Source organism: Homo sapiens, chromosome 16 (genome assembly GCF_000001405.40).
Source record: "Homo sapiens chromosome 16, GRCh38.p14 Primary Assembly".
Lineage (NCBI taxonomy): Eukaryota > Metazoa > Chordata > Mammalia > Primates > Hominidae > Homo > Homo sapiens.
Window position 1 is genome coordinate 21,109,445 of NC_000016.10, and position 26,129 is coordinate 21,135,573.

At 44.1% G+C, this 26,129-nt stretch overlaps 1 protein-coding gene and 1 long non-coding RNA gene across 17 annotated transcripts in view, besides 1 other annotated feature; one reads left to right on the forward strand and one right to left on the reverse strand.

Annotated features, from left to right (window-relative positions):
• DNAH3 (dynein axonemal heavy chain 3) overlaps positions 1 to 26,129 on the reverse strand; it is a 226,349-nt gene that overhangs the window by 176,334 nt on the left and 23,886 nt on the right. For 10 of the 15 annotated variants that reach the window (XM_047434348.1, XM_011545883.1, NM_001347886.2 and 7 more), the window contains 7 exons: positions 24,815 to 25,010; positions 18,243 to 18,368; positions 15,731 to 15,926; positions 12,501 to 12,680; positions 7,759 to 7,895; positions 2,549 to 2,654; positions 2,182 to 2,360 (listed from right to left, as the gene is read on the reverse strand). In XM_047434348.1, the coding sequence (XP_047290304.1) occupies positions 2,182 to 2,360; positions 2,549 to 2,654; positions 7,759 to 7,895; positions 12,501 to 12,680; positions 15,731 to 15,926; positions 18,243 to 18,368; positions 24,815 to 25,010 (1,120 nt within the window). Of the gene's footprint in view, positions 1 to 2,181; positions 2,361 to 2,548; positions 2,655 to 7,758; positions 7,896 to 11,295; positions 11,411 to 12,500; positions 12,681 to 15,730; positions 15,927 to 18,242; positions 18,369 to 19,759; positions 20,072 to 24,814; positions 25,011 to 26,129 lie in introns of those variants that run through there. The other 5 variants (XM_017023432.2, NM_017539.2, XM_047434349.1 and 2 more) reach the window with 3 other exon arrangements.
• On the forward strand, positions 6,987 to 11,846 carry LOC107984888 (uncharacterized). 2 transcript variants are annotated; one of them, XR_007065020.1, is made up of 2 exons: positions 6,987 to 7,093; positions 7,765 to 11,846. It is a non-coding gene; the product is annotated as an uncharacterized LOC107984888 (long non-coding RNA). The 2 variants fall into 2 exon arrangements; XR_001752105.2 differs by having other exon boundaries at positions 11,468 to 11,846.
• Positions 7,098 to 7,197: an enhancer, noted in NCBI's record as "active region_10547". NCBI's record gives its function as "activates an Ori minimal core promoter by ATAC-STARR-seq in GM12878 lymphoblastoid cells {active_cell/tissue: GM12878}" and the evidence as "EXISTENCE:reporter gene assay evidence [ECO:0000049][PMID:35858748]".

The window sequence follows — 26,129 nt, forward strand, 5'->3', positions numbered from 1 at the left end:
AGATGGTCACTAGTATTATTATTAATTTGCTGATGATTTTCTGATATGTATTTTGTAAAACTTATAGTACTATAAAATGCTAAAATTACACATATATGAATAATACAGTATACAATATAATATTAATAGCGGTGATTATTACTAAATCATTTTATTTTACATTTATTTATTCTGAGGTAGGGTCTTGCTCTGTGGCCCAGGCTGGAGTGCAGCGCCTCAATCATAACTCACTGCAGCCTTGACCTCCTGAGCTCAAGTGATACTCCTGCCTCAACTTGCATACCTCTCTCTTTTTTTTTTTTCTTTTTTTTTGAGACAGAGTCTTATTCTGATGCACAGGCTGGAGTGCAGTGGTGTGAACATGGTTCATTGCAGCCTCGACTTCTGGGGCTCAAGTGATCCTCTCGCCTCAGCCTCTTGAGTAGCTGGGACCACAGGCACATGCCACTATGCCTGGCTAATTTCTTAATTTTTATTTTTGTAGAGATGGTATCTTCCCATGTTGCCCAGGCTGGTCTTGAACTCCTGGGCTCAAGCAATCCTCCTGCCTCCACCTCCCAAAGTAAACCCAATCTCATGTTGGGACTATAGACGTCAGCCATGGCACCTGGCCACTAAATCATTTTAGTCTATAGTTTAAAGTGCTTTGAGGAAGAGAGCTAGGATAACATGGAATAACCATTTTCTAACCTTCAAATAGAGACACAGTAGAAGGCAGTTGCCATCTCAGCCAAGCATCCATTACCTCTTTCTGTAACAACACCTATGTATTATCGGGGACCCCCACCCCTTTCAGCTCATGTGGTTTAGGTGGTGTTGACACCCATCCCAGAGATGGGAACACCCAGCCAGATCTAAGCCATCCTCTTGGCCAGTGTTTGATTCAATGTTGTACAAACGACCTAAGTCAGGCCAACCTCACATGGGCCAGGACTTTTCCAAGGATGATAGAAAAAGAAATTTTTTGCCTCCTCTGGATAGGAATCCGGGAGGATGTAAGCCTGGAGCTGCAGAAGCCCATAAACTGGAGAGAACCTGTTAGAGAATGGAGCCAACGTGGAGGAAAGCCAAGCAGAGAGAGAGGAATTGCATCCTAATTGCAGCATTGAGGGCCTGAAGCTAGAAACCCTAAACTTTTCAACATGTGAGCCACAAATTCCCTTTTTAACCCAAGCTAGTCTGTTTGAGCTTCTATCCATTATAACCAAAAACATCTTGTCTAACACGTAGTTGTCAGTAAAATAAAGGCATAATATAGAGTTTAAGATTGAACAATGGAACCAAACATGGTGGCTCACACCTGTAGTCCCAACAGACTTAGGAGGTTGAGGCAGGGGGATCACTTGAGCCTGGGAGGTCGAGGCTGCCATGAGCTATGATCGCGCCACTACTGCACTCCAGCCTAGGGGACAGAACAAGACCATGTGTCTAAAAAAGAGAAAGAAAAATGATATGCAAATAGAGGCAGGAGGATTGCTTGAATCTAGGAATTTGAGGCTACCGTGCACTGTGACTGTACCTGTGAATAACCACTACAATCCAGCTTGGACAACATAGCAAGACCCTGTCTCTGAAAACAATTAGAAAATTCGCCAGCCATGATGGTGGATGCCTATAGTCCTAGCTACTCAGGTGGCTGAGGCAAGAGGATTGCTTGAGCCCAGGAGTTCGAGGCTACAATGAGCTATGATCAGGCCACTGCACTCCAGATAGAGTGAAACCTCCTTTTGAAAAAGAAAAAGATTGAACAACAGAATTCCCGGACCTATACAGCAGAATTCTGCCTAGGAGTGATTCTAAGGAAAATGCGCCTGTAAGCACTTTGTGTTTCAAAATATGTGCTAGATGAACAGTGAGAAGGGCCTGTGACCTCAGACAGACAAGCCCAGGAAGCAGTTTGCATTCTCCTGAATTTGCCTGCAAGAAGACAAAAGCTTCAGGATCAGAGACAAACTGCTAACAAATGCCCTCCACCCGCCTACTCCAACCCCCATGTCGCTTTCTCTTGACTGTTCACCTCCTAGCCTGAACCTGAATTCCTCACTACCCTTACTTAGGGGCAGAAAAAACTTGATCTAGAAAATAATCTGTTCATTGCTGGAAGGTGCAAGTTCTGGTCACTTTTTCGTCTCCAGTTGGTGCCAAATACCATTGCTATTTGTCTGCACAGAATTACAATACCTGGTATTGGTGTCTCGGTTTACATCCACTTGGAATTGAATCAGATGGTCTTTAAGATTTTGAGCTCGCTCACAGAGATCATGATTTAGGGCCGTAGCATCAAGGCAGAACATGGCTAAAGGCACGGTGATGTTCATGGATGCAATTTCATTTCTCCGTTTCTTTATGGCATTGATCTTCTGCAGAAAGGAGCACATTCAGTAGCTTGATTTGCCCTTGAGCCTCTCCCACTTGCCCCCAGCCTAACCCCTGGCCAACCCTAGTCCAATGCTGAGCATGGTCTATGCACCAAAGAGACACTAACTGCTCATTGGATTGTCTGCAGCACATGTCACCAAGGTATAAAATCTCAAGTGGCATTTCCTACCGTCACAAAATCATCAATGTCATGATTTTCTTTCAGGAACGCAGCGATGTTTTGCTCTGCCGTGTTATCCAATAAGTCAACATACTTTTTGTAGACATTTAAATATCTTCCATATTGAAGGGTGTGAAATCAAACACACAAATATAAGTCAACCAAATCAGATGAGTCAGAGTGGCAAATGAAGACATAGTAGCATTTTAAAAAATGTAGCCCAAGCCAGGAAAGAGAACTATAATGTGGCAAAAGTTTCATTAAACAGAGAACTCAGAATTTTGGCTCTGATTTTCAGTTTCACCACTTCCTAGCAGTGTAAACTTAGACAAGATATTTCAGTTTTTCAAGGATGGGTGTTGTATTAGTCCATTTTCATACTGCTGATAGAGACATACTCGAGACTGGGAAGAAAAAGAGGTTTAATTGGACTTACAGTTCCACATGGCTGGGGAGGCCTCAGATCATGGTGGGAGGCAAAAGACACGTCTTACATGGCAGTGGCAAGAGAAAATGAGGAAGAAGCAAAAGTGGAAACCCCTGATAAACCATCAGATCTCATTAGACTTATTCACTATCATGAGAATAGCACAGGACAAAACAGCCCCCATGGTTCAATGACCTCCCCCTGCGTCTTTCCCACAACACGTGGGAATTCTAGGAGATACAATTCAAATTGAGATTTGGTGGGGACACAGCCAAACCATATCATTCTCTCCCTGGCCCCTCCAAATCTCATGTCCTCAAATTTAAAACCAACCACACATTCCCATGCTGCCCAAGACCATGGGAACCCACCTCTTGCATCAATATAACCTGGATGTGAGACCTGGAGTCAAAGGAGATCATTTTGGAGCTTTAAAGTTTGACTGTCCCACTGGATTTTGGACTTGCATGGGCCCTGTACCCCTTTGTTTTAGCCAATTTCTCCCATTTGGAATGGCTGTATTTACCCAATACCTGTACCCCCATTGTATCTAGGAAGTAACTAACTTGCTTTTGATTTTACAGGCTCATAGGCAGAAGGGACTTGCCTTGTCTCAGATGAGACTTTGCACTGTGGACTTTTGGGTTGGTGCTAAAATGAGTTGAGATTTTGGGGGACTAATGGGAAGGCATGGTTTGATTTGAAATGTGAGGACATGAGATTTGGAGGGGCCAGGGGCAAAATGATATGGTTTGGCTGTGTCTCCACCAAATCTCAACTTGAATTGTATCTCCCAGAATTCCCACTTGTTGTGGGAGGGACCCAGGGGGAGGTAGTTGAATCATAGGGCTGGTTTTTTCCCATGTTATTCTCATGGTAGTGAATAAGTCTGGTGAGATCTGATGGGTTTACCAGGGGTTTCTGCTTTTGCTTCTTCCTCATTATCTCTTCTGGCAACACCTACACAAACATACCCAGGATTAATACTTTGTATCCCTCAATCCAATCAAGTTGACACTCAGTATTAACCATCACAGTTGTCTTTAATTTTATTTTATTTTATTTTTTGAGATAGACTCTCACTGTAACCCAGGCTGGAGTGCAGTGCTGTGATCTCAGCTCACTGCAATCTCCTCCTCCCAGCTTCAAGTGATTCTCTTGCCTCAGCCTCTGGAGTAGCTGGGATTAGAGGCATGTGCCACCACACCCAACTAATTTTGGTATTTTTAATAGAGACAGAATTTTGTCATGTTGGCCAGGCTGCTCTCAAATTCCTGGCCTCAAGTCATTTGCCCACCTTGGCCTCCCAAAGTGCTAGGATTACAGGCATGCATCACCAGGCCGGGCCCAATGTCTTTAATTTTAAGTGGAAATGATCATTAACACCTCATAGGATTATTGTAATGCTTAACTGTAATAAAGCACACACAAATGAATTAATGCTGTGCCTGACATACAATGAATGTGCTACAAATATTACGATAGTCCCTCCTTACCCTTGGGGATATGTTCCAAGACCCCCAGTGAATGCCTGAAACCGCAGATAGTACTGAACCCTTTATATACTGTTTTTTCCTATACACATATATGTATTTATGATAAAGTTTAATTTATAAATTAGGCACAGCAAAAGATTAACAATAACTGAAAATAAAATGGAACATATAACAATATAATGTAAAAATAAAAGTTATATGAATGTGGTCCCTTTCTCTGTTTTTCTCAAAATAGCTTGATATTTTCCAACCTTAGTTGACCTCGGGTAGCTGTAACTGCAGAAAGCAAAACCGCAGACAAAGGGGACGCCTGTGATTCCTATCCCTTCTTCAAGTCCCAAAATTCTAAGCCTAAATCTTAAGATGAAAATCTAGGACTAATTAACCTAAAATCTATTAAATAAAATCAAAATTTTCTCTGCCTGTAATCAAATGACACAAAAATGGCTGGACAGTTTCCCCAAAATTGGAGGATGTGTTTGGGATGGTCTGGTTTAAAATAAGTTTGAATTAAAATAAAGATGATAGTGAGTAAGCAGAATTAACTTTGTGGGACTCAGTGGCATGCTTCCAAGAGGTGATCAACACTTTAGAGACTCTGAAACTGAGATGCAATGAGAAATCCGTGGAACTGTCAATCCAGAAAGACAAACAACCCCATCAAAAAGTGGGCGAAGGATATGAACAGACACTTCTCAAAAGACATTTATGCAGCCAAAAGACACATGAAAAAATGCTCATCATCACTGGCCATCAGAGAAATGCAAATCAAAACCACAATGAGATACCATCTCACACCAGTTAGAATGGCGATCATTAAAAAGTCAGGAAACAACAGGTGCTGGAGAGGATGTGGAGAAATAGGAACACTTTTACACTGTTGGTGGGACTGTAAACTAGTTCAACCATTGTGGAAGACAGTGTGGTGATTCCTCAAGGATCTAGAACTAGAAATACCATTTAACCCAGTTGATCCCATTACTGGGTATATACCCAAAGGATTATAAATCATGCCGCTATAAAGACACATGCACACGTATGTTTATTGTGGCACTATTCACAATAGCAAAGACTTGGAACAAACCCAAATGTCCATCAATGATAGACTGGATTAAGAAAATGTGGCACATATACACCATGGAATACTATACAGCCATAAAAAAGGATGAGTTCATGTCCTTTGTAGGGACATGGATGAAGCTGGAAACCATCATTCTCAGCAAACTATCACAGGCACAAAAAACTGAACACCACATGTTCTCACTCATAGATGGGAATTGAACAATGAGAACACTTGGACACAGGAAGGGGAACATCACACACCGGGGCCTGTCATGGGGTTGGGGGATCGGGGAGGGATAGCATTAGGAGATATACCTAATGTAAATGACGAGTTAATGGGTGCAGCACACCAACATGACACATGTATACATATGTAACAAACCTGCACGTTGTGCACATGTAACCTAGAGCTTAAAGTGTAAAAAAAAAAAAAAAAGTAGAAAGAAAGACAAAACGTGCCAGGCAAGGTGGCTCACACCTGTAATCCCAGCACTTTGGGAGGCCGAGGTGAGTGGATCACCTAAGGTCAGGAGTTTGAAACCAGCCTGGCCAACATGGTGAAACCTTGTGTCTACTAAAAATATAAAAATCGGCTGGGCGTGGTGGCACATGCCTGTAGTCCCAACTACTTGGGAGGCTGAGGCAGGAGAATTGCCTGAACCCAGGAGATGGAGGTTGCAGTGAGCTGAGATCATGCCACTATACTCCAGCCTGGGTGACAGAGCGAGATGCCATCTCAAAAAATAATAAAATAAATAAAATAAAATAAAATAAAATAAAAATAAAATAAAATAAATAAAATAAAATAAAATAAAATAACTGTGTGTCTAAGAGTCCATGAATAGGGAAAACAGAGGTTTCAAATAGAATCTCCCAAATCAAATTCACGAGGGCAGGGCTTCCAAATATGAGGCCATGATTTTTTGACTAGGTTAGCAGTTGTTCTCAACTGGTGGGGACTTTTGGCCACACCTGAAGACATTCTTGGCTGTCACAACCAGGGGATTCCTGCCGGCATGCATAATTCCTACAAGGATTCTGCTAAACAGCCCACCACGCACAGGACAGCCCCCACAATATAATTTTCCAGTCAAAAATGTCAGTAGAGCTGCAGTCCAAAAACTCTGGGTTAGCGTGACCATATCTCTTGGTTTGCCTGGGACAGTCCAGGTTTATACCTGTTGTCCCATGGTAATTGTTAACAACACTCTTTTCACTCGTAAATTGTCTCACTTTGGAAGCTATTTACAGGATCACCCTAAACTAGTGTGATATGGTTTGGCTGTGTCCCCACCCAAATTTCATCTTGAATTGTGGTTCCCATAATCCCCACGTGTTGTGGGAAGGACTCGGTGGGAGGTAATTTAATCATGAGAGCGGTTACCCTCATGCTGTTCTCGTGACAGTGAGTTCTCACGAGATCTGATGGTTTATAAGAGGCTTTTCCCTCCCCCTTTTGCTCAGCACTTCCTCTTCCTGCTGCCACGAGAAGAAGGATGTGTTTGCTTCCCCTTTTGCCACGACCGACCGACCATAAGTTTCCTGAGGCCACCCCAGACCTGCAGAATTGTGAGTCAATTAAGCCTCTTTCTTTTGTAAATTACTCAGTCTCAAGCATGTCTTCATTAGCAGCGTGAGAACGGACTATACATAGTGACTGCTCACGTGTGCAGCTGTGAGATGTTTTACAGTGTGATGATTAAAGGACATGGCCTGTGGGTTCAGATAACTGATTCTCGATCCCCAAATCCAAAAAGTTCTGAAAACAGACAGTTGCCTCAAAATTCACTTGGTAGCAAAAGTTGGCCTGAACAGATATGAGGCTATTATGTGAATATTTATAGGTTTCCCTGCAGAAATATCAACATGTTGCCCCAGACCTCACAGAAACTGCAGGATAATATATGATATACGCATTATGTTACTTTTATATAACCCAGAAATTTTGAAGTGCCAAAACCCATCTGGCTTCACAACTATCAGATAATGGAGGTGGATCTGTAATTGAATTTGAATCCTGGCTCTACTAACTATTTGCTATGTAACACTGGGACAGTTAGAGTTTCCTCATTTGTAAAGTGGGAATAAATAGTAATACTCATGTAAGTATTGGCTATTCTTACTATGTATGTGTTCAGGTGTTTGGGAACAGGAATACCTTATTGGATGAGAGTTAAGAACACCAAATCAATCCCAAAAAGCTACATAGCTAATAAATTTATAACTCAACTTACTTGCAGGGGCCAACTTGATTTTTCTGAAATACCTTGAAAGTTTGAATCAAAAAATCAGAAACAAGTTTTTCTTCTGCGTTAACAGTTCCAAGGAGCAGATTATATCCTTTCAGCTCTGGGAACAGGACAGATTCCACCTGAAGAGTAAACACCACTTTTGCATGTTGCAAGACTTAAGAAGGGAGATGGTACCCAAATGCAAAGCCTTCTCTAATGCACTCATTTCCAGGGCTGCCAGCTGCATTTTTACTCTATTTCCTCTTAGATAGTGCTGGAATCACCCTGCTGTTTCCTCTACCTCTGTTCTCTCTCCTTTCCTTCTTGCCTGGATTACTCATCTTTCAAATCCCTGACCTTTCAAGGGTCTTGTCCTTTGAGAGTCCCCCTTGTCCTGCTCACCGCCCCACAACGCTCCAGTGGATGTTGGTTTCCCTGTTTCAGGCTCACCTTCTGAACTTTTCCTGCTTAGCACTCATCACAATTGCAATTAGATGAATGTGTAATGAGATGTTCTAGGTGTGTCATAGAATACAAATTCCATGAAGGTCTGGATCATATTTGACTTCTTCACTGTTATATCCCCAGGGCCTAGCAAAAGCTTGGCACTTGGTAAGTGCTCAAAAAATACTGGGTGAGTCAATGAATACTATCGTAGTGCTCCCCTCCTCCCCTACTACCCAGTTTTCCTCTCTAATGAAAATTCTGGAGACGTGGATTCTAATTCTGAATCTGCCACTGAGGGACAATGTGACCTTAGGTAAACTACTTCTCTCGTGGGTTTTTTTTTGTTTTGTTTTGTTTTTTTGAGACAGTCTCACTCTATGGCCCAGGCTGGAGTGCAGTGGCACGATCTGGGCTCATTGCTACCTCTGCCTCCTGGGCTCAAGCGATTCTCCTGCCTCAGCCTCCCGAGTAGCTGGGATTACAGGCATGCACCACCATACCCAGCTAATTTTTGTATTTTTAGTAGAGACAGAGCTTCACCATGTTGGCCAGGCTTGTCTCAAACCTCAAGCAATCCACCTGCCTCAGCCTCACAAAGTGCTGGGATTACAGGCATGAGGCACCACATCTGGCCTAAACTACTTCTCTGAATCCCCATTTTCTCATCTGTAAAAAAGAAGAGATGTACTAGATTCTCCTCTAAGCCCAGAGAAAACAAACGATGGCTTTATGATCATGAGGCACTGAAAGTATCTTCTGAGAGAATTCATACTCTCTAACTTCTTTTTATTTATTTATTTTTTTAAAGAGATGGTCTCACTCTGTCACCCAGGCTGGAGTGCAGTGGCACCATCATAGCTCCTATGCTATGTGACTCCTCAGCTCAAGCAGTCTTCCTACCTCAGCCTCCTGAGTAGCTGGAGCTACAGGTGCCTGCGACCATGCCTAATTTTCTTATTTTTATTTATATTTTTGTACAGACAGGGGCTCTCTCTATGTTGCCCAGGTTGGTCTTGAACTGGTGGTCTGGCTTCACAACTTTCAGAAAATGGAGGTGGACCTGTAATTGTATATGAACCCTGGCCCTCGGCTCAGCCTCCAAAAGTATTGAGATTGCAGGCTTGAGTCTCCACGTCTAGTCACTCTAACTCCCTCATGGCACGTGTGTGTCTCTGAGAATGTTCTCACTTGCATGGCTCATGCAGGCTGCAAAGTTCCTGCCTGGGACCCATTGTCTTCCATTGTCCTCTCTGCTAAGAAAGATTTTAGTGGCTGGTCTCAGAAAAGGTCTTCAGAGTGTTTCAGTGAGTTACATGGGTTATATGCCTTTGATGGAAATGCATCAATTTAGAAAGGGGGAAAATCAAGTGCAAATGATCTGTGTCTTGTTTGGCCAATCCAGAGGTTTTGAAACCAGTGGAGGAGCAACTTCTTTGCTGCAGCCATACTACAGACAGCTGCCAAAGGCAACGAGATGGAGGGACTGGCACTGGTCAATGCGTGAATGAAATGGTTTAGGGCAGCACAATTGGTGCCCCCAGGCCATGTGACAGATCACAAGTGGGCAGGATAATGGATCGTCTCATGGGAAGAAGTCTTCAAACTTAAGAGGATGAAATACCTCTTGCTGCTCTTTCAATGTGGTGGATTCTCTTATGCCCTGTAGAGCAGTCTGTGAAATGGAGTCAAGAACAATCGCATTCGGCCGGGTGTGGTGGCTCATACCTATAATCCCCACACTTTGGGAGGCAGAGGCAGGCAGATCGCTTGAGCTCACGAGTTCAAGACCAGCCTGGGCAACGTGGCGGAACCCTGTCTCTACAAAATACAAAAATAAGCCGGGCATGGTGGTGCACACCTGTTATCCCAGCTACTTGGGAGGCTGAGATGGGAGGATGGCTTGAGCCTGGGAGGTAGAGGTTGCCTCCCGGGCTCAAGCAGAAAAAAAAAAATTCTTTTTTTTTTTTGAGATGGAGTTTCACTCTTGTTGCCCAGGCTGGAGTGCAATGGCGCAATCTAGGCTCACTGTAACCTCCGCCTCCTGGGTTCAAGTGATTCTCCTGCCTCAGCCTCCCGAGTAGCTGGGACTACAGGCACCCGCCACCACACCCGGCTAATTTTTTGTATTTTTAGTAGAGACGGGGTTTCACCATGTTGGCTAGGCTGGTATTGAACTCCTGACCTCAGATGATCCAGCCATCTCGGCTAATTTTTTGTATTTTTAGTAGAGACGGGGTTTCACCATGTTGGCCAGGCTGGTATTGAACGCCTGACCTCAGGTGATCCAGCCATCTTGGCCTACCAAAGTGCTGGGATTACAGGTGTGAGCCACTGTGCCTAGCCCCTTTAATAATTATTTCTCACAAATATGCTTTCCTGCTTTCTTTCTGTGTCTTGAATAATGCTATTTACTCTATTTTCTATTTTCAAAAGTCTCTTGTTAGCTTTTCCCTACCAACTTTTTTTTTTTTTTTTTTGACAGAGTCTCACTCTGTTGCCCAGGCTGGAGTGCAATGGTGCAATCATAGCTCACTGCACCCTTGAACTTCTGGGCTCAAGCGATCCTCCTGCCTCAGCCTCCTGAGTAGCTAGGACTACAGACGTGTGCCACCACCCCAGCTAATTTAATTTTGTAGAGATGAGGTCTTGCTATATTGCCCAGGCTGATATTGAACTCCTGGCCTCAAGCAATCTTCCTGCTTCTCGACCTCCCAAAGCTCTAAAATTATAGGTGTGAGCCACCATGATTGACCTTAACTAACTTTTAAAATTCTTTTTAAACCATATATACGGCAGATCTTGCAGTGAGTGAAGGTAACACCCACCAGTTGCCATTCTTAAAGATTTTTCTTAGTCAACCTGCAGGACTATGTTTTTAAGTCTTCACTAACCAGTTCAGAGATAAAACAGTCTGAGGGGCTTAAGGAGGAAGCTAGGGCTGTGGGTGTCACTAGATGGGGAACTCAGTCTACGTTGTTTTTCCTTATTGTCTCGTAAAGTCATTGGTATTCACATAGGCCTTGTTTTCAAACCTGGTACAAACCATGTCTTCTTGGCATTGTAATTCATCAAATGTAGTACCGGCCCTGGTACCTGCCATTGCAGTGGCAGCCGCGTGCATGCTGGGCTCTCCTGGCTCAGCTGCTTTCACACATTGCCGATCAGCAGCAGCAGCAGTGAAGGAGAACTTAAGTGGTATGTATTTCAGCTGTCCCCATACATAGTCATCCAAATTACAGGGTCTTTTCTTCCATTTCCTTCCTAGGGATACTGGTTGTAGGAGAGCTGCCCAGTGTTTCTTCTCCTCCCACACACCCAGTTTTAATGGAGTACTTAGAACCCTGTAAGTACCAGATTGCAAAGAGAAGAATGCTTGGGCCTCCTTGCACTGCAACCTTGAACTCCTGGGCATTCGTTTCACATGAGCAAGGCCCATGTGAAGCATACATAATGCATGGAGAGAGTGAGAAGGTGGAAGGGTGAGGGAGCTAGCCAGCAAGACCCCACAGATCCCTTCCCTATATGGAACTGGACAATGGCCCTTTGGTCATACCAACCAATCAGAGGGAGTGAGGAAAAGATGGAGCTAAAAGGAGTTACATCCATGTGCATGATCCTGTCTAGTAATAAAAGTTTGTTAATAAGTGTCTGGAATTTAATTAGTAACTCTACCCTGGAAAGCAAACTGGAAAGGGCGTGGGCCAGGAAAGGAATGGTTATTCTCTCTAGAAGCCTACAGTGGCTAAAACATAACAAACCAACAAACAAATAAGCACACAGAAGAGTGAAACTTCAAACTGAAATTGAAAAAAAGTTCTTGGCAAGTTAATGGCAATTGATTCATGATGGATTATTAACCCACAGATATGGCTTGGGACCTATCTGATTCATTGAGGTTGACATCATGGAGGACACTATACTCTCTCACAAAGTAGGTCTTTTTTTTTTTTTCTTTTTTCTTTTTTTTTTTTTGGAGATGGAGTCTCGCTCTGTCGCCCAGGCAGGAGTGCGGTGACGCCATCTCAGCTCACTGAAACCTCTGCCTCCCGGGTTCAAGTGATTCTCCTACAAAGCAGCTCTTCGTGCTCTTGTTAGAAGCACAATTCTGGGCTGCGTGAATATTTCTTTATGGTCTAAATCATTTGTCTGGGGTCAAGGGGTTATATTCAGGATATATCTCCAAAGTGAAGCTCCCTTAACTGAATATCCCAGCGACCTGACTTGTACAACCTCTTTCAATACATTTTATTCACTAAGTGAAAAAATCATGCAAATGAATGATTAAGTGACTACTATACCTTGGGGATCCCATTAGAGTTCTTAATAATTTCCAGGAAAGAGTCACGTATTAATTCCCAGCAGCCATCAAAAGATGGATTGAAGACAATAATGGGTTCACTGACTTCAAGTTTGATCATGATTAGCTGAGGTATGAAAAACTTCATCTCTTGGTAGGGCTCCTTAAAATCATTCCCATCCTTCAGGAGACATAAGGTAGGGCAAGCGTTACAAAATTGGGCCTTCCAAAATCAAGGGAGTGAATTTTATACATTCATAGAACTACATGAGGACCAGAAAAGGCAATGAAGGGCATCATACACTGTTTATATTTAAAATATGGGCTGGGGCTGGGCACCGTGGCTCACACCTGTAATCCCAGCACTTTGGGAGGCCGAGACAGGTGGATCACCTGAGGTCAGGAGTTCAAGATCAGCCTGGCCAACATGGTGGAACCCCGTCTCTACTAAAAAACACAAAAAACTAGCCAGGCATGGTGATGGGTGCTTGTAATCCTAGCTACTTGAGAGGCTGAGGCAGTAGAATCACTTGAACCCAGGAGGCAGAGGTTGCAGTGAGATCACGCCGTTACACTACAGCCTGGGCAACAAGAGTGAAACTCCATCTCAAAAAAATAAAAAACAAATAAAATATGTATTGGGTATAGCTTAGCCCACCCTGACTCCATGCACTCTCCCTTTCCCAAAGCCTTTATTCCCTTTTGTTTATGCGGCTTGGTAATTCCTGCACCCAATATCTAGATCCTTCCCATCCTTCAAAATTCAGCTAAAACATTTCTTCCTTTGGGAAGCCTCCCTGTTTCTCAGCTGGATATAATCTCCTCCCACTTCTGAACTTGTGTATTTCTACTTCCTCTGTTTTTTTTTTAATTTATTTTATTTGTGTCCTTAGAGATGAGGTCTCACTATGTTGCCCAGGCTGGTCTTAAACTCCTGAGCTCAAGTGATCCTCCTGCCTCAGCCTCCCAAAGTGCTGGGATTACAGGTATGAGACACTAGGCCCAGCCTAGTATTTTTTTCTTTCTCTCTGGTAGGAATTTATATGCGTATCTCAACTTGTCTATTCTAAAGTTGAGGGCAGGATCTATGTCTGATCACCTCTCTCCTCCAAAATACCTGAGACAGCATATAGTACCTAACAGGTGCTCAATAAAAATTTATTGATTCAGTCCAAAAGTATTAATCATAATCCATATAACCCCAAATGGAGTTGCTAATGAGCATAGTTTATTTTAGACACTCAAAATGTCAACCTTGCTACAACAGAAATATTGACATAGAGCTATTTCCAATTCCCTACAAAAGCTCTAACCCAGGATGCCCTCATAAACTACAGCGCCTAATGAAATTGTCAGAAGGCAGCTGTAAAGTACTTCTTACATAGAGATTTCTAGATCCATTTAAAGATGACTGATGATATTTGGTGAATACCTACTGTATATCAAATACCTATAAATTCCCCCCTATTTTCCAGACACAGGAAGATTTTACATTTCCCTTTGTGTGGAATTTTAGAGTGAGATTGGCTTCCACCCCTGGGTTTCTTATGCTTAGCAAAGTAGACAATCACAATGACATTTATAGATTGGTCTTCTTTAGAGAGCTAACATTGCAATTCAGCCCCACTGGTTTCTATATTTTTGAGCAAAAGACCAATTGTTAATCTTTATTACTTCATTTGGAAAACTTAACCTTTTATAACCAGGTAATTTTTAATTTTTGTTACTTTGTTAAGGTAAAATGTGCACACGGCATAAAATTCAAAAGAATATTCATCGATTTTTAGGCTATCCAAATTCAGGGAATGCTATGGTGCTTTGAAAACTAGGACTTAGTGTTTTCAGTTTTCTCTCTTTTTTTTTTTAGACAGAGTCTCGCTCTGTCACCCAGGCTGGAGCCAGGCAGTGGCGTGATCTCGGCTCACTGCAACCTCTGCCTCCTGGGTTCAAGTGATTCTCCTGCCTCAGTCTCCTGAGTAGCTGGGACTACAGGCACACACCACCACACCCGGCTAATTTTTGTATTTTTAGTAGAGATAGGGTTTCACCAGTCGACCAGGCTGGTCTCAAACTCCTGACCTCAGGTGATCTGCCTGCCTCGGTCTCCCAAAGTTCTGGGATTACAGGCGTGAGCCACCGTGCCTGGCCAGTGTTTTTAGTTTTCATTTTGACTTCCCTAAAACAGTTTCATGAAAGAATTTCTTAATTAGGTCAACAAAGCCTTTTGTCTTTAGAGGTGCCCCTTGCCAAGACCAAAGAACAAAAACCCATATCTACAATGAAACCTACAGCACTCCCTCAATATCAAGCCAAAGATTGAAAACAAACCTTTTCCAACCCCTTCTTGTAAAAGAGAGGATGAAAAAAATGATTCCTTCTCCCCAAACTGTAAGACATATGTCTTTCATTTTATGCAATTTTTCTTTAAATTTTCTTAACAACTTCTCTACTTCTGTACATTTTTACCAACTTAATACTGAGTGATTATCTCAAGAAAGTTTGCCATGTATTTAAGGAAATTATTTTTAAAATTATTCCAATCCACAGCTGGACTGGACTTCTTAAGATTTTATTTATGGTTTTATACCTCTCTTTAAAAATTAAAAAATTGATACTGATTAATTGTACATATTTACAGGATACATATAATGTATAGTGGTCAGATCATGGTAATTAGCATATCTATCATCTCAAACATTTACTTTTTTTTTTTTTTCCTTTTTGAGACAGAGTTTCACTCTTGTCGCCCAGGCTGGAGTGCAATGGCGCGATCTGGTCTCACTGCAACTTCCGCCGCCTGGGTTCAAGCAATTCTCCTGCCTCAGCCTCCCGAGTAGTTGGGACTACAGGCATCCGCCACCATGCCAGGAAAATTTTTGTATTTTTAGTAGAGACAGGGTTTCACCATGATGGCCAGGCTGGTCTTGAACTTCTGACGTCAGGTGATCTGCCCGCCTTGGCCTCCCAAAGTGCTGAGATTACAGACGTGGCCTGTAATGCACCCGGCCACATTTACCATTTGTGTGTGTGTGTGTTGGGAACATTCAATATCCTTCTTCCAGCTAAAAGAAGACATTTTTATAAACTAACAACTGCCTGATGTGGGTGGAAGTCAAGCATTTCACTTTGTGCCCTGGCTCACAGCTGAGGACGTACATGACAGAGTCCTGGCTCTAACCAAGTAACCAGGTTATTCCCCTCAAAAGGTCCAAATGCAGGTCCCTGACTTACTTTGTGTATCATGAAAAGGGAAACGAGGTCCTCAAGTGACTTAATGACCAGCTCCCTAAGCTGCAGCGACATGAATGATGCCACAGAAGCAAAATATTCCTCAATGTTTCGACTTGAGTCATAGTTGCTCTTGGGAGCAAAATGAATCCAGTGCTCCTTCCGTGAGGTAAAAAGCTGGGCGCAGGTGGGGATCCACCTGTAAAGACAGAAGGGTGTCCATGTGAGAAGCTCTTCTGGGCTCCGAGGAACCCACTTGCCGTGCCCCCTGAGCTCAGTGATGAGGCAGATGGGCTCAATGTCCCACCAAGCAGCCTTGCAAATCAGTACTTTCAATTTCCAGCCACCTTACCTGCCATGCCTCTTTCTTGGGAAGAAAGTAATAAGATTTGAATTAAGAGGTTATTCTTCCATTGAGAATACCCAAATGGAAAGGGGATATTGGTGGCACATCCTGCTGAAAGAGTCTACACTTTCTTCATTATAATCAGAGATTGGGGTAAAGGGGCATAAGGAACTAGAATGTTCTGTCCAACTTCTCTCTCTCTAGCAGATGCCTGGTCTCTGATTCAAACTTCATAGGGGGAAAGAGAGAATGAGGAGCAAAGAAAGAAAACATGAAAGGAGAAACTCCAGTGTGGCCCTGGCTGCTCAGAAGTTGATGGTAGAAATCAGAAAACCAAAAGAAGAAATAGCCAAGTGTGGTGGCTCATGCCTGTAATCCCAGCACTTTGGGAGGCCGAAGCGGGCAGATCACTTGAGGCCAGGAGTTAGAGACCAGCCCGGCCAACATGGCAAAACTCCATCTCTACAAAAACAAACAAACAAACAAAAATTAGCTGGGCATGGTGCATGGTGACACACACCTGTAGTCCCAGCTACTTGGGAGGCTGAGGCAGGAGAATCACTTGAACCTGGGAGATGGGAGGTTGCAGTGAGCTGAGATTGTGCCACTGCACTCCAACTTGAGTGACAGAGTGAGTGAAACTCTGTCTCAAACAAACAAACAACAACAAACAAACAAAAAGAAATAGATGCTTCATTGTTTCTTTCCTCCCATGTCCCCCAGTTTCTAATTCCCAGTGGAAACCACTGGCCTTTTCATCCTATTGCATCTTTTCTCTGATCGCTAAAAAGGTACTACTCTAGCAACCAGAGAAGCACTACTACTGGTTGTAGTCATAGAGGTATGAGATTTATTGAGCAGCTATTATGTGCCAATGATAGCATCTACATTTTCTCTGCTAAAGAAAACCCATCTGCAGGTATTATTATCACTGTTTTACACAAGGGAATTTCTCTGGCTGTGGAGGTAGTCTTGCAGGCATTTGCAAAGGAAAAAGGAATTGTGTAAATGTATGAAACCCTTTTGCCTTGAAATCTTGAGGCCGTTTATCTGGACTATCTGAATATAAGTCATTCAAATGCATTCCCCTGTAACACAGCAAGGTCTAAAGCAGGGGTCCCCAACCCCTGGGCCATGGACTGGTTGTAGGAACCAGGCTGCACAGCAGGAGGTGAGCAGCAGGTGGGCGAGCCAGCTTCATCTGTATTTACAGCCGCTCCCCATGGCTTTTTTTAACCGCCTGAGCTCTGCCTCCTGTCAGATCAGCAGCGGCATTAGATTCTCACAGAAGCGTGAACCCTACTGTGAACTGCACATGCGAGGGATCCAGGTTGCACACTCCTTAGGAGAATCAAATGCCTGATGATCTGTCACTGTCTCCCATCACCTTCAGATGGGACCATCTAGTTGCAGGAAAACAAGCTCAGGGCTCCCTCTGTTTCTACATTATGGTGAGTTGTAGAATTATTTCATTATATATTACAATGTAATCATAAAAATAAGGTGCACAGTAAATGCCGTGTGCTTGAATCACCCCGAAACCATCCCACTGGCCCAGTCTGTGGAAAAACTGTCTTCCACAAAACCAGTCCCTGTGGCCAAAATGGGTGGGGACCGCTGGTCTAAAGGATTCGAGGAGGAGGAAATGGGGGTGACAGCCTCCCAGGGAATGGTGATAGGGGAATTTCAAGAAGGCAGAGGGAGACCAGGCATGGGGCAGAAAGCAGCTGGACATGAAAAAAAGAGGACACGAGGCCAGGCGCGGTGGCTCATGCCTGTAATCCCAGCACTTTGGGAGGCCGAGGCAGGCAGATCACAAGGTCAGGAGATTGAGACCAGCTTGGCTAACACAGTGAAACCCTGTCTCTACTAATAATACAAAAAAAAAAAAAAAATAGCCGGGCATGGTGGCATGCACCTGTAGTCCCAGCTACTGGGGGCGCTGAGGCAGGATAATCGCTTGAACCCGGGAGGCAGAAGTTGCAGTGAGCTGAGATCACACCACTGCACTCCAGCCTGAGTGACAGAAAGAGACTCTGTCTCAAAAAAAAAAAAGACACGAAAGGATGCCAGTGGGACAAACCCCAGGCTGGGTACCAGCTTCATTTCAGAGGGTTTTCAGTCTTTAAGATACCATGGTGCAGCCCCACTTGGAGGGCAGATACTGACTTGTTGAGAAGAGTCTGGTGTGCCTCCAGGCAGTGTTTCTGGATCACATCCCAAAATTCCTGAGGCTGCAGAGGCAATTTTCCCGCTAGTATTTCTGCTGTTCGAACAAACCTGAGGTCTCTGAATCTGCCAAAAGAGAGGGAGAAATTTCCTAAGCTAAAGAACGCTTAATAACAAATCCCGCAGGACAGGTTCCAAGGGTGTGTGTTCACGTTTCTCAATGAAAGTTAAGCAGAATCAAATGAATTACAGGATATGGGAAAGATGCTGAGGAGGATATGGGAGGCTGAGGAGGGAGGAGCTAAGTCCTAAAGAACGCTTGCAGGGAGGAGACAAATGAGGTGACCCAAGAGTGCTCCTGAGCCTTAGAGATATGCCTCACTCTGCATAACCCATCAAGAAGTGGGGCTGTGGCACCAGCTGGAGACTCAGCTGGCTGAGAACTTGGGTATCAAATGGACGAATCAATGTTCTTTACAACAGTGAAGACCCAGAGGCCAGGACCAAGCAGAACATCTTCATCATCAAATGGGATTCACCCAAGCCTCTGGGTGAGCTCTTGAAGGTAACTTTGAGGACTGCTTTGATTTAAAACAAAGAGTTTATGGATCCCAGCACTTTGGAGGCTAAGGAGAGAGGATGGCTTTGAGCTCAGGAGTTCAAGACCAGCCTGGCAATATAGTGAGACATCATCTCTCCAAAAACAAAACAAAACAAAACAAAAAAGGCCGGGCGCGGTGGCTCACACCTGTAATCCCAGCACTTTGGGAGGCTGAGGTGGGTGGATCACAAGGTCAGGAGTTCAAGACCAGCCTGGCCAAGATGCTGAAACCCCGTCTCTACTAAAAATACAAAAAAATTAGCCGGGTGTGGTGGCGGGCGCCTGTAATCCCAACCACCCGGGAGGCTGAGGCAGAGAATTGCTTGAACTCGGGAGGTGGAGCTTGCAGTGACAGGAGATCACGCCACTGCACTCCAGCCTGGGGGACAGAGCGAGACTCGTCTAAAAAAAAAAAAAATAGACGCGCTGGGTGTGGTGGTGCACACCTGTAATCCCAGCTACTTAGGAGGCTGAGGCAGGAAGATCGCTTGAACCCAGGAGGTCAAGGCTACAGTGAGCCCTGATTGCATCACTGCACTCCAGCCTGGGTGACAGAGCAACACCCTGTCTCTACAAAGAAAAAAAAAAAAAAAAAAAGCTTGTGGAGCCAAAAAAGCCTCTTTAAGCCCTCTAACTCCTGTCACTGTGAGGGTGAAGAAAGGCCAACCAGTGAGAAGAAATGAGAGTTTTCTCCACTACGAGGGGTATCCTTTTAACACCTAAGTCAGATTCTATCTGCTCCAAACCCTCCAATGACTTCCCATTTCAGAGTAAAAGCGTGCCTAGTGACTGGGGCCCACTAGGTGCTCTGCACCCTATGCCATCTCTCTTGCTCCTGTCCTGCCTGTCACCTCCCCCCCTCCCCATCTCCTCTCCTACCCACCTCCGTGACTCACAGTGTTCCAGGCACGCTCACCTCATACTGTTTCCAGGCCGTGCCCACCTGCTGCTGCTTGGGTCCTGTGCACAAGCTGTTCCCGCTGCCTCCAATACTCATCCCCTCGACTTCTATGGAGCTGACTCTTCACCTTCCAGCCTTGGCTCAAATGTCACCTTCACAGTAAAGGCTACCCATGGCTGGGTGTGTGGTTGTGCAGGATCTGCCCCTTCCAAAGGGCCAGAATGGGTGAGTGCTCTGCTTGTCAAGAAATGCACCCTGGGGCTGGGTATGGTGGCTCACTCCTGTAATCCCGGCACTTTGGGAGGCCAAGGTGGGTGGATCATTTGAGGTCAGGAGTTAAGAGACTAGCCTGGCCAACATGGTGAAACCCTATCTCTACAAAAAAAAAAAAAAAAAAAATTAGCCGGGCCTGGTGGCGGGTGTCTGTAATCCCAGCTACTCAGGAGGCTGAGGCAGGAGAATTGTTTGAACCTAGGAGGCAGAGGTTGCAGTGAGTCGAGACCGCACCACTGCACTCCAGCCTGGGCAACAGAGCAAGGCTCTGTCTCAAAAACAAAAACAAATGCACCCTGGTGTTAGGCTGCATCCATCCCATTAGTGGACAGGGGTAGCGGGGAGGTTTGTTAGATTCAAACAAGTGTTTTATGGGCAAGCAGCCCCACCCCAGCCCCACACAAACCACACTCCCTATCCCCATTACTCTGGCTAATTTTTCTTTTCATAGTACCCATCACCTTCTAACATATTATATAATTTATTTACCTAATATATTTATTGTCTGTTTTCCCCCTAGAAAAATGAACTCACTTCTGTTCTCTACTACACTAAAACAATGCTTAGCACATAACCAGGACCTGGCACCTATTTGTTAAATGAATGAATGAATGAATGACTAAATAAATGAAAAAAAAAAAAAAAAAACAAATGAACTCACAGTTTGGAAGCCAAGAGACAGAAGAGCCTTTGGACCTAATATATATTTATTTTCTATCTTATGCTTGAGTGACACCTCCTAGAACTATTGATGCTAGAGTTGTCCAGAGTATATCGGTAGGATAGAGCGGCTGGATAAGGAAGAGCGGAAACTAATAAAAAGCTCTCATCAAGCCCTCCACTTTTTTTTTTTTTTTTTTCTTGAGACAGGGTCTCACTCTGTCACCCAGGCTGGAGTGCAGTGGCGATCTTGGCTCACTGCAGCCTCAGCTTCTGAGGTTCAAGCAATTCTCCTGCCTCAGCCTCCCAAGTAGCTGGGACTACAGGCACACACCATCACGCCTGGCTAATTTTTGTATTTTTAGTAGAGACAGGGTTTCACCATGTTGGTCAGGCTGGTGTCCAACTCCTGACCTCAGGTGATCCACCCACCTCAGCCTCCCAAGGTGCTGGGATTACAGGCATGAGCCACCACGCCCAGGCTCTCATTGCTGATTTTTTTGGTTCAGTTGATAAAATTCTTCTAAATGATTTCAGTTCACTTTGGTGCTGCTGTTGCTGGCATAATCTTCCTCAGGGAACCATGAAAAGCAAGTGGTAAAAAGCCTTTCTTCTCAGTGAAGCTATAGGCTCAACAATTTGCCGTCTTTGCTACGAGATCAATTTAAACTCAGGTACATGTGATTATCTATTATCTTCTGAACTTCTTTATGAAGTTTCTGGCTATTCATCCAGCTCTAAGACTGACTTCCTCACTAGTTTCTATGTTAATTTATTTTTTTAGCTCATAAACACGCTTGTACTTAAAGCAATACCTTAATTTGTTGAGCAATTACTGTGTGCCAAGCAGCAGTCTAAGCACTTTCTTTAGCTAACAACTCCAGGAGGTAGGTATTGTTATGATGATTCCCATTTGCATGTAGAACACAGGGTCAGACTAGGCGGTGGCTCATGCCTGTAATCGCAACACTTTGGGAGGCTGAGGAAGGAGGAATTCTTAAAGCCAGGAGTTCAAGCCCAGCCTAAGCAACCTAGAGAGACCCTGTTTCTACAAAAAATGTAAAAATTAGTCAGACATGGTGGCATGCACCTATAGTCCCAGCTACTTGGGAGGCTGAGGAGAGAGCCCAGGAGTTTGAGGCTGCAGTGAACTCTAATCATGCCACTGCACCACACCCTGGGTGACAGAGCAAAAGCTTGTCTAAAACAAGAAAGCAAGCAAGAAAGCAAGAAAGAAACAGGGTCACAGAGGAAGGAAGGAAGGAAGGAAGGAAGGACAAACAGGGTCAAAGAGAAAGAAAGAAGAAAAGAAAGGAAGAAAGAAAGAAGGAAAGAAAGGAAGGAAGGAAGGAAGGAAGAAAGAAAAGAAAGAGAGATGAGAGAGAAGGAAGGAAGGAAGGAAGGAAGGAAAGAAAGAAAAAGAAAGGAAGGAAGGAAAGAAAGAAAGGCCGGACGTGGTGGCTCTTGCCTGTAATCCCAGCACTTTGGGAGGCTGAGGCAGGTGGATCACCTGAGGTCGGGAGTTCGAGACCAGCCTGACCAACATGGAGAAACCCTGTCTCTACTAAAAATACAAAAAAAAATTAGCCAGGCATGGTGGCACATGCCTGTAATCCCAGCTACTAGGGAGGCTGAGGCAGGAGAAATGTTTGAACCTGGGAGGCAGAGGTTGCGGTGAGCCAAGATCGCGCCATTGCACTCCAGCCTGGGCAACAAGAGTGAAACTCCATCTCAAAAAAAAAAAAAAAAAAAGGGGGAGAGAAAGAAAGGAAGAGAGAAAGAAAGAAAAGAAAACAGTCACAGAGGGATTAATTTCTCTCAAATTATACTATTAATTAGTAACAGAACAAGAACCAGAATTCAGATCCCATTCTATAAGTTATTACTTTATATGGTTCCACTTAGTTAGAAAATTACTTCTTTTTTCTCAATGTCCTGACTGCTGACTGGTACTTCCAATGCTTTAGAAAATTGAATTCAGTTCAAAGAAAAGAATACAGCTATTTCTTTTCACTGATGGGCTCTGTCCTACGTTGACTTCACCCCCTCAATTCCTTTTTAAAATACAAGCAAAACTAAGGATTTGAAAAACAAGTAGGTTCTCCAAGCCACAGGGCTCCCTTAAGACTGAACACGTTCAAAGCTAGAGATCCTCCCAAAGCAAAATACATGAGCTACTAATAAGTTCGGCCAATCAAAGTTAAGTAAGCATATCTGCCTCTAATTTTTCTAATACAAAACTCAGATGGGGGCAGCTCATCATTTCATTAGCCTGGCCTTTCAGTGAACTCCGGTGTCTTCATCCTCTCACCAGGATGTGTACCTTCTTGAAGGGCTCACTAAAAAAACCAGAGTCTTCCACCTCCAGGCTCACTGCAATTGATGCATAGATAAAACAAATGTCGGATAGCCATCCAATGGATTAGTATGCCGCCATAAAAAGGAAGCACTCACTACTGATACAAGCTTCAGTGTGGATGAAGACTGACAATATTGTTCATTGAAAGACACCAGACACAAAAGATCATATATTGCATGATTCCATTTCTATAAAATGTCCAGAATATGCAAATCCATAGAGACAGAAAATCACTTAGTGGTTGGGAGGAAATGGGGGAAGGTGAGAATGCGGAGTGACTGCTAATGGGTTTCTTTTTGGGGTAATGATAATACTCTTGAATTAGACAGTGGTAAGGATTAAACAAACTTGTGAATATATTAAAAACTTGCATTGTGTACTTTCAAAGGGTGAATTTTATGGAATGTGGATATCTCACTTTTTTTTAAAATGAAAGAATGAAAAAAGGTGGCTTCTGTCTCATCTGGACTCCTACAATTTTTTTTTTTTTGAGACGGAGTTTCGCAAATTTAATTATTGATAAATATACCTGAGAGATCACTGCTTGCCAGCCCTGTACTGGCACTGAGTTACATAAAGGAATAAGACCGTCCGGGCGTGGTGGCTTACACCTGTAATCCCAGAACTTTGGGGTGCCGATGTGGGTGGATTGCTTGAGCTTAGGAGTTTGAGACCAGTCTGGACAACATGGTGAAACTCCGTCTCTATCAAAAAATACAAAAAATTAGCTGGGTGTGGTGGTGTGGGTCTGTGGTCCCAACTACTCAGCTAACTTGGGAGACTGAGGTGGGAGGATTGCTTCAGCTTGGGAGGAGGAGGTTGCAGTGAATCGAGATTATGCCACTGCACTCCAGCCTGGGTGACAGGGTGAGATTCGTCTCAAAAAAAAAAAAAAAAAAGGAATAAAACCCAAGCCCGCACACACTTCATAGGCTAAAGGGAGACAAATAAGTAAATGTTCTATTATAACCAAGGGTGAGCTGGGTGCGATGGCCCATGTCTCTAATCCCAGCACTTTGGGAGGCTGAGGCTGGCAGATCACCTGAGATCGAGAGTTCGAGACCAGCCTGACCAACATGGAGAAACCCCATCTTGACTAAAGATGCAAAATTAGCCAGGCATGGTGGCGCATGCCTGTAATCCCAGCTACTCGGGAGGTTGAGACAGGAGAATCGCTTGAACCCGGGAGGCGGAGGCTGCAGTGAGCCAAGATCGCGCCATTGCACTCCAGCCTGGGTAACAAGAGCCAAACTCTGTCTCAAAAACAAAAACTGAGGGTGATGTTGTAATGGAGGTAATGCCAAATTAACAATTACTGGTGCTTAAGTTATATTAGATACTGTTCTAAGTGCTTTGGATGTAGTAAGTTATTTATTCCTCTTATCAATCCTATGAAGTGGAAACTCTTATTAACATTATCGCAAATTTAGAGGTAAAGGAAGCAAGGCACAGAAAAGTGATGCGACCACATATATGCCTGTAAAGCAGCAGAGCTAGGAGTTAGACCTGAGCAGGCTGGCTCCAAGTCTGTGCAATTAAGCAGGATATTCCAGTGCTTAGAGACAGGCACAGGGTGCCCTGGGGACACAAAGGAGGGCCACGTAAGCCTGCAAGGAAAGGTGTCACTTATAATTCACATGCATATTTGGCCTAGATTTTTTTTTCTTTCATTTCTCTATGCTGTCAGGGCTACCCCCACTGTGCACAGCAGAATAGGCTTGCTTACACGTGGATGTGGTCAAGAAAGGGAATGAAAAAAAAAGGGAGGGACTTCTTACTCTGCAAACCACAGTTCTTTCAGCCTGAGCATCATGGGGTTCACCGTGTGCAGATGCTCCTCGTTCCACTTCTTGGCGCTCCTGTAGACACTGTGCCAGGGCACAGGGGCCCGGATCACTCTTTGAGGAAACAAGCGGGGGATGCTCTCAATAAAGAGCCGTTTTCTCTCCATTGGGTCCATGAGGATGTAATCAACTACAACCGGAAAGGGCGAACACCTCATTATTAAGCTCTAAGGGTTGTGCTCTTAGCTTCAACTCATTTAGTTTTGTTTTTAATATAGAGACGGGGTCTCACTAAGTTGGCCAGGCTGGTCTCAAACTCCTGGGCTCAAGTGATCCTCCCACCTCAGCCTGCCAAAGTGCTGGGATTACAGGCATGAGTTGCTATGCCTGGCCTTAGAGTCAACTCTTTTTATTTATTTATTTATTTATTTTTTGAGATGGAGTCTCGCTCTGTCGCCCAGGCTCGATTGCAATGGTTCAATCTCAGCTCACTGCAACCTCCACCTCCGCCTCCTAGGTTCAAGCCATTCTCCTGCCTCAGCCTCCTGAGTAGCTGGGATTACAGGTGGCTGCCACCACACCTGCCTAATTTTTTGTATTTTCAGTAGATACAGGGTTTTGCCATGTTGGCCAGGTTGGTCTTGAAATCCTGACCTCAGGTGATCCACCCGCCTCGGCCTCCCAAAGTGCTGCGATTATAGGTGTGAGCTAGCACACCTGGCCTTAGCTTCAACTCTTAGAATATAAATGAGCCTCTGTCCATTTGCAAGGTCATGGGTAATCCCCTGGGTATAATTCAACTGGTGAAGCTTCACTCTTGGTGTTTGTTTTCTTTCTGAGGGTATTTTACAGAAAGGAGGAGTGTGACTTCACGGTGTGGAGCACTTAGAATCTGGGGTTGAGCCCTGGTAGGATGTCTAGTATCAGGCAGGACAATGAAATAGGATTTGCTGATAACTCATTAGTCACTGATTGATTTCTCACACCAAAATAGATGCACACAAAAAAACCCACCATGGATGATACCATCCATTATATTTACAAATAGAAGTTTAAAGACCAAATGTTTTCCATACTAAGAAAGGTTGGTAGAAAAGCTTCATAGAGGATGTAACATTTGTGCTGGGTCATAAAGAACAAGTAGCAGGCTGGGTGCGGTGGCTCACACCTGTAATCCCAGCACTTTGAGAGGCTGAGGTGGGTAGATCACTTGAGGTCATGAATTCGAGACCAGACTGGCCAACATGGCGAAACCTTGTCTCTACTAAAAATACAAAAATTAGCTGGGAGTGGTGGTGCGTGCCTGTAG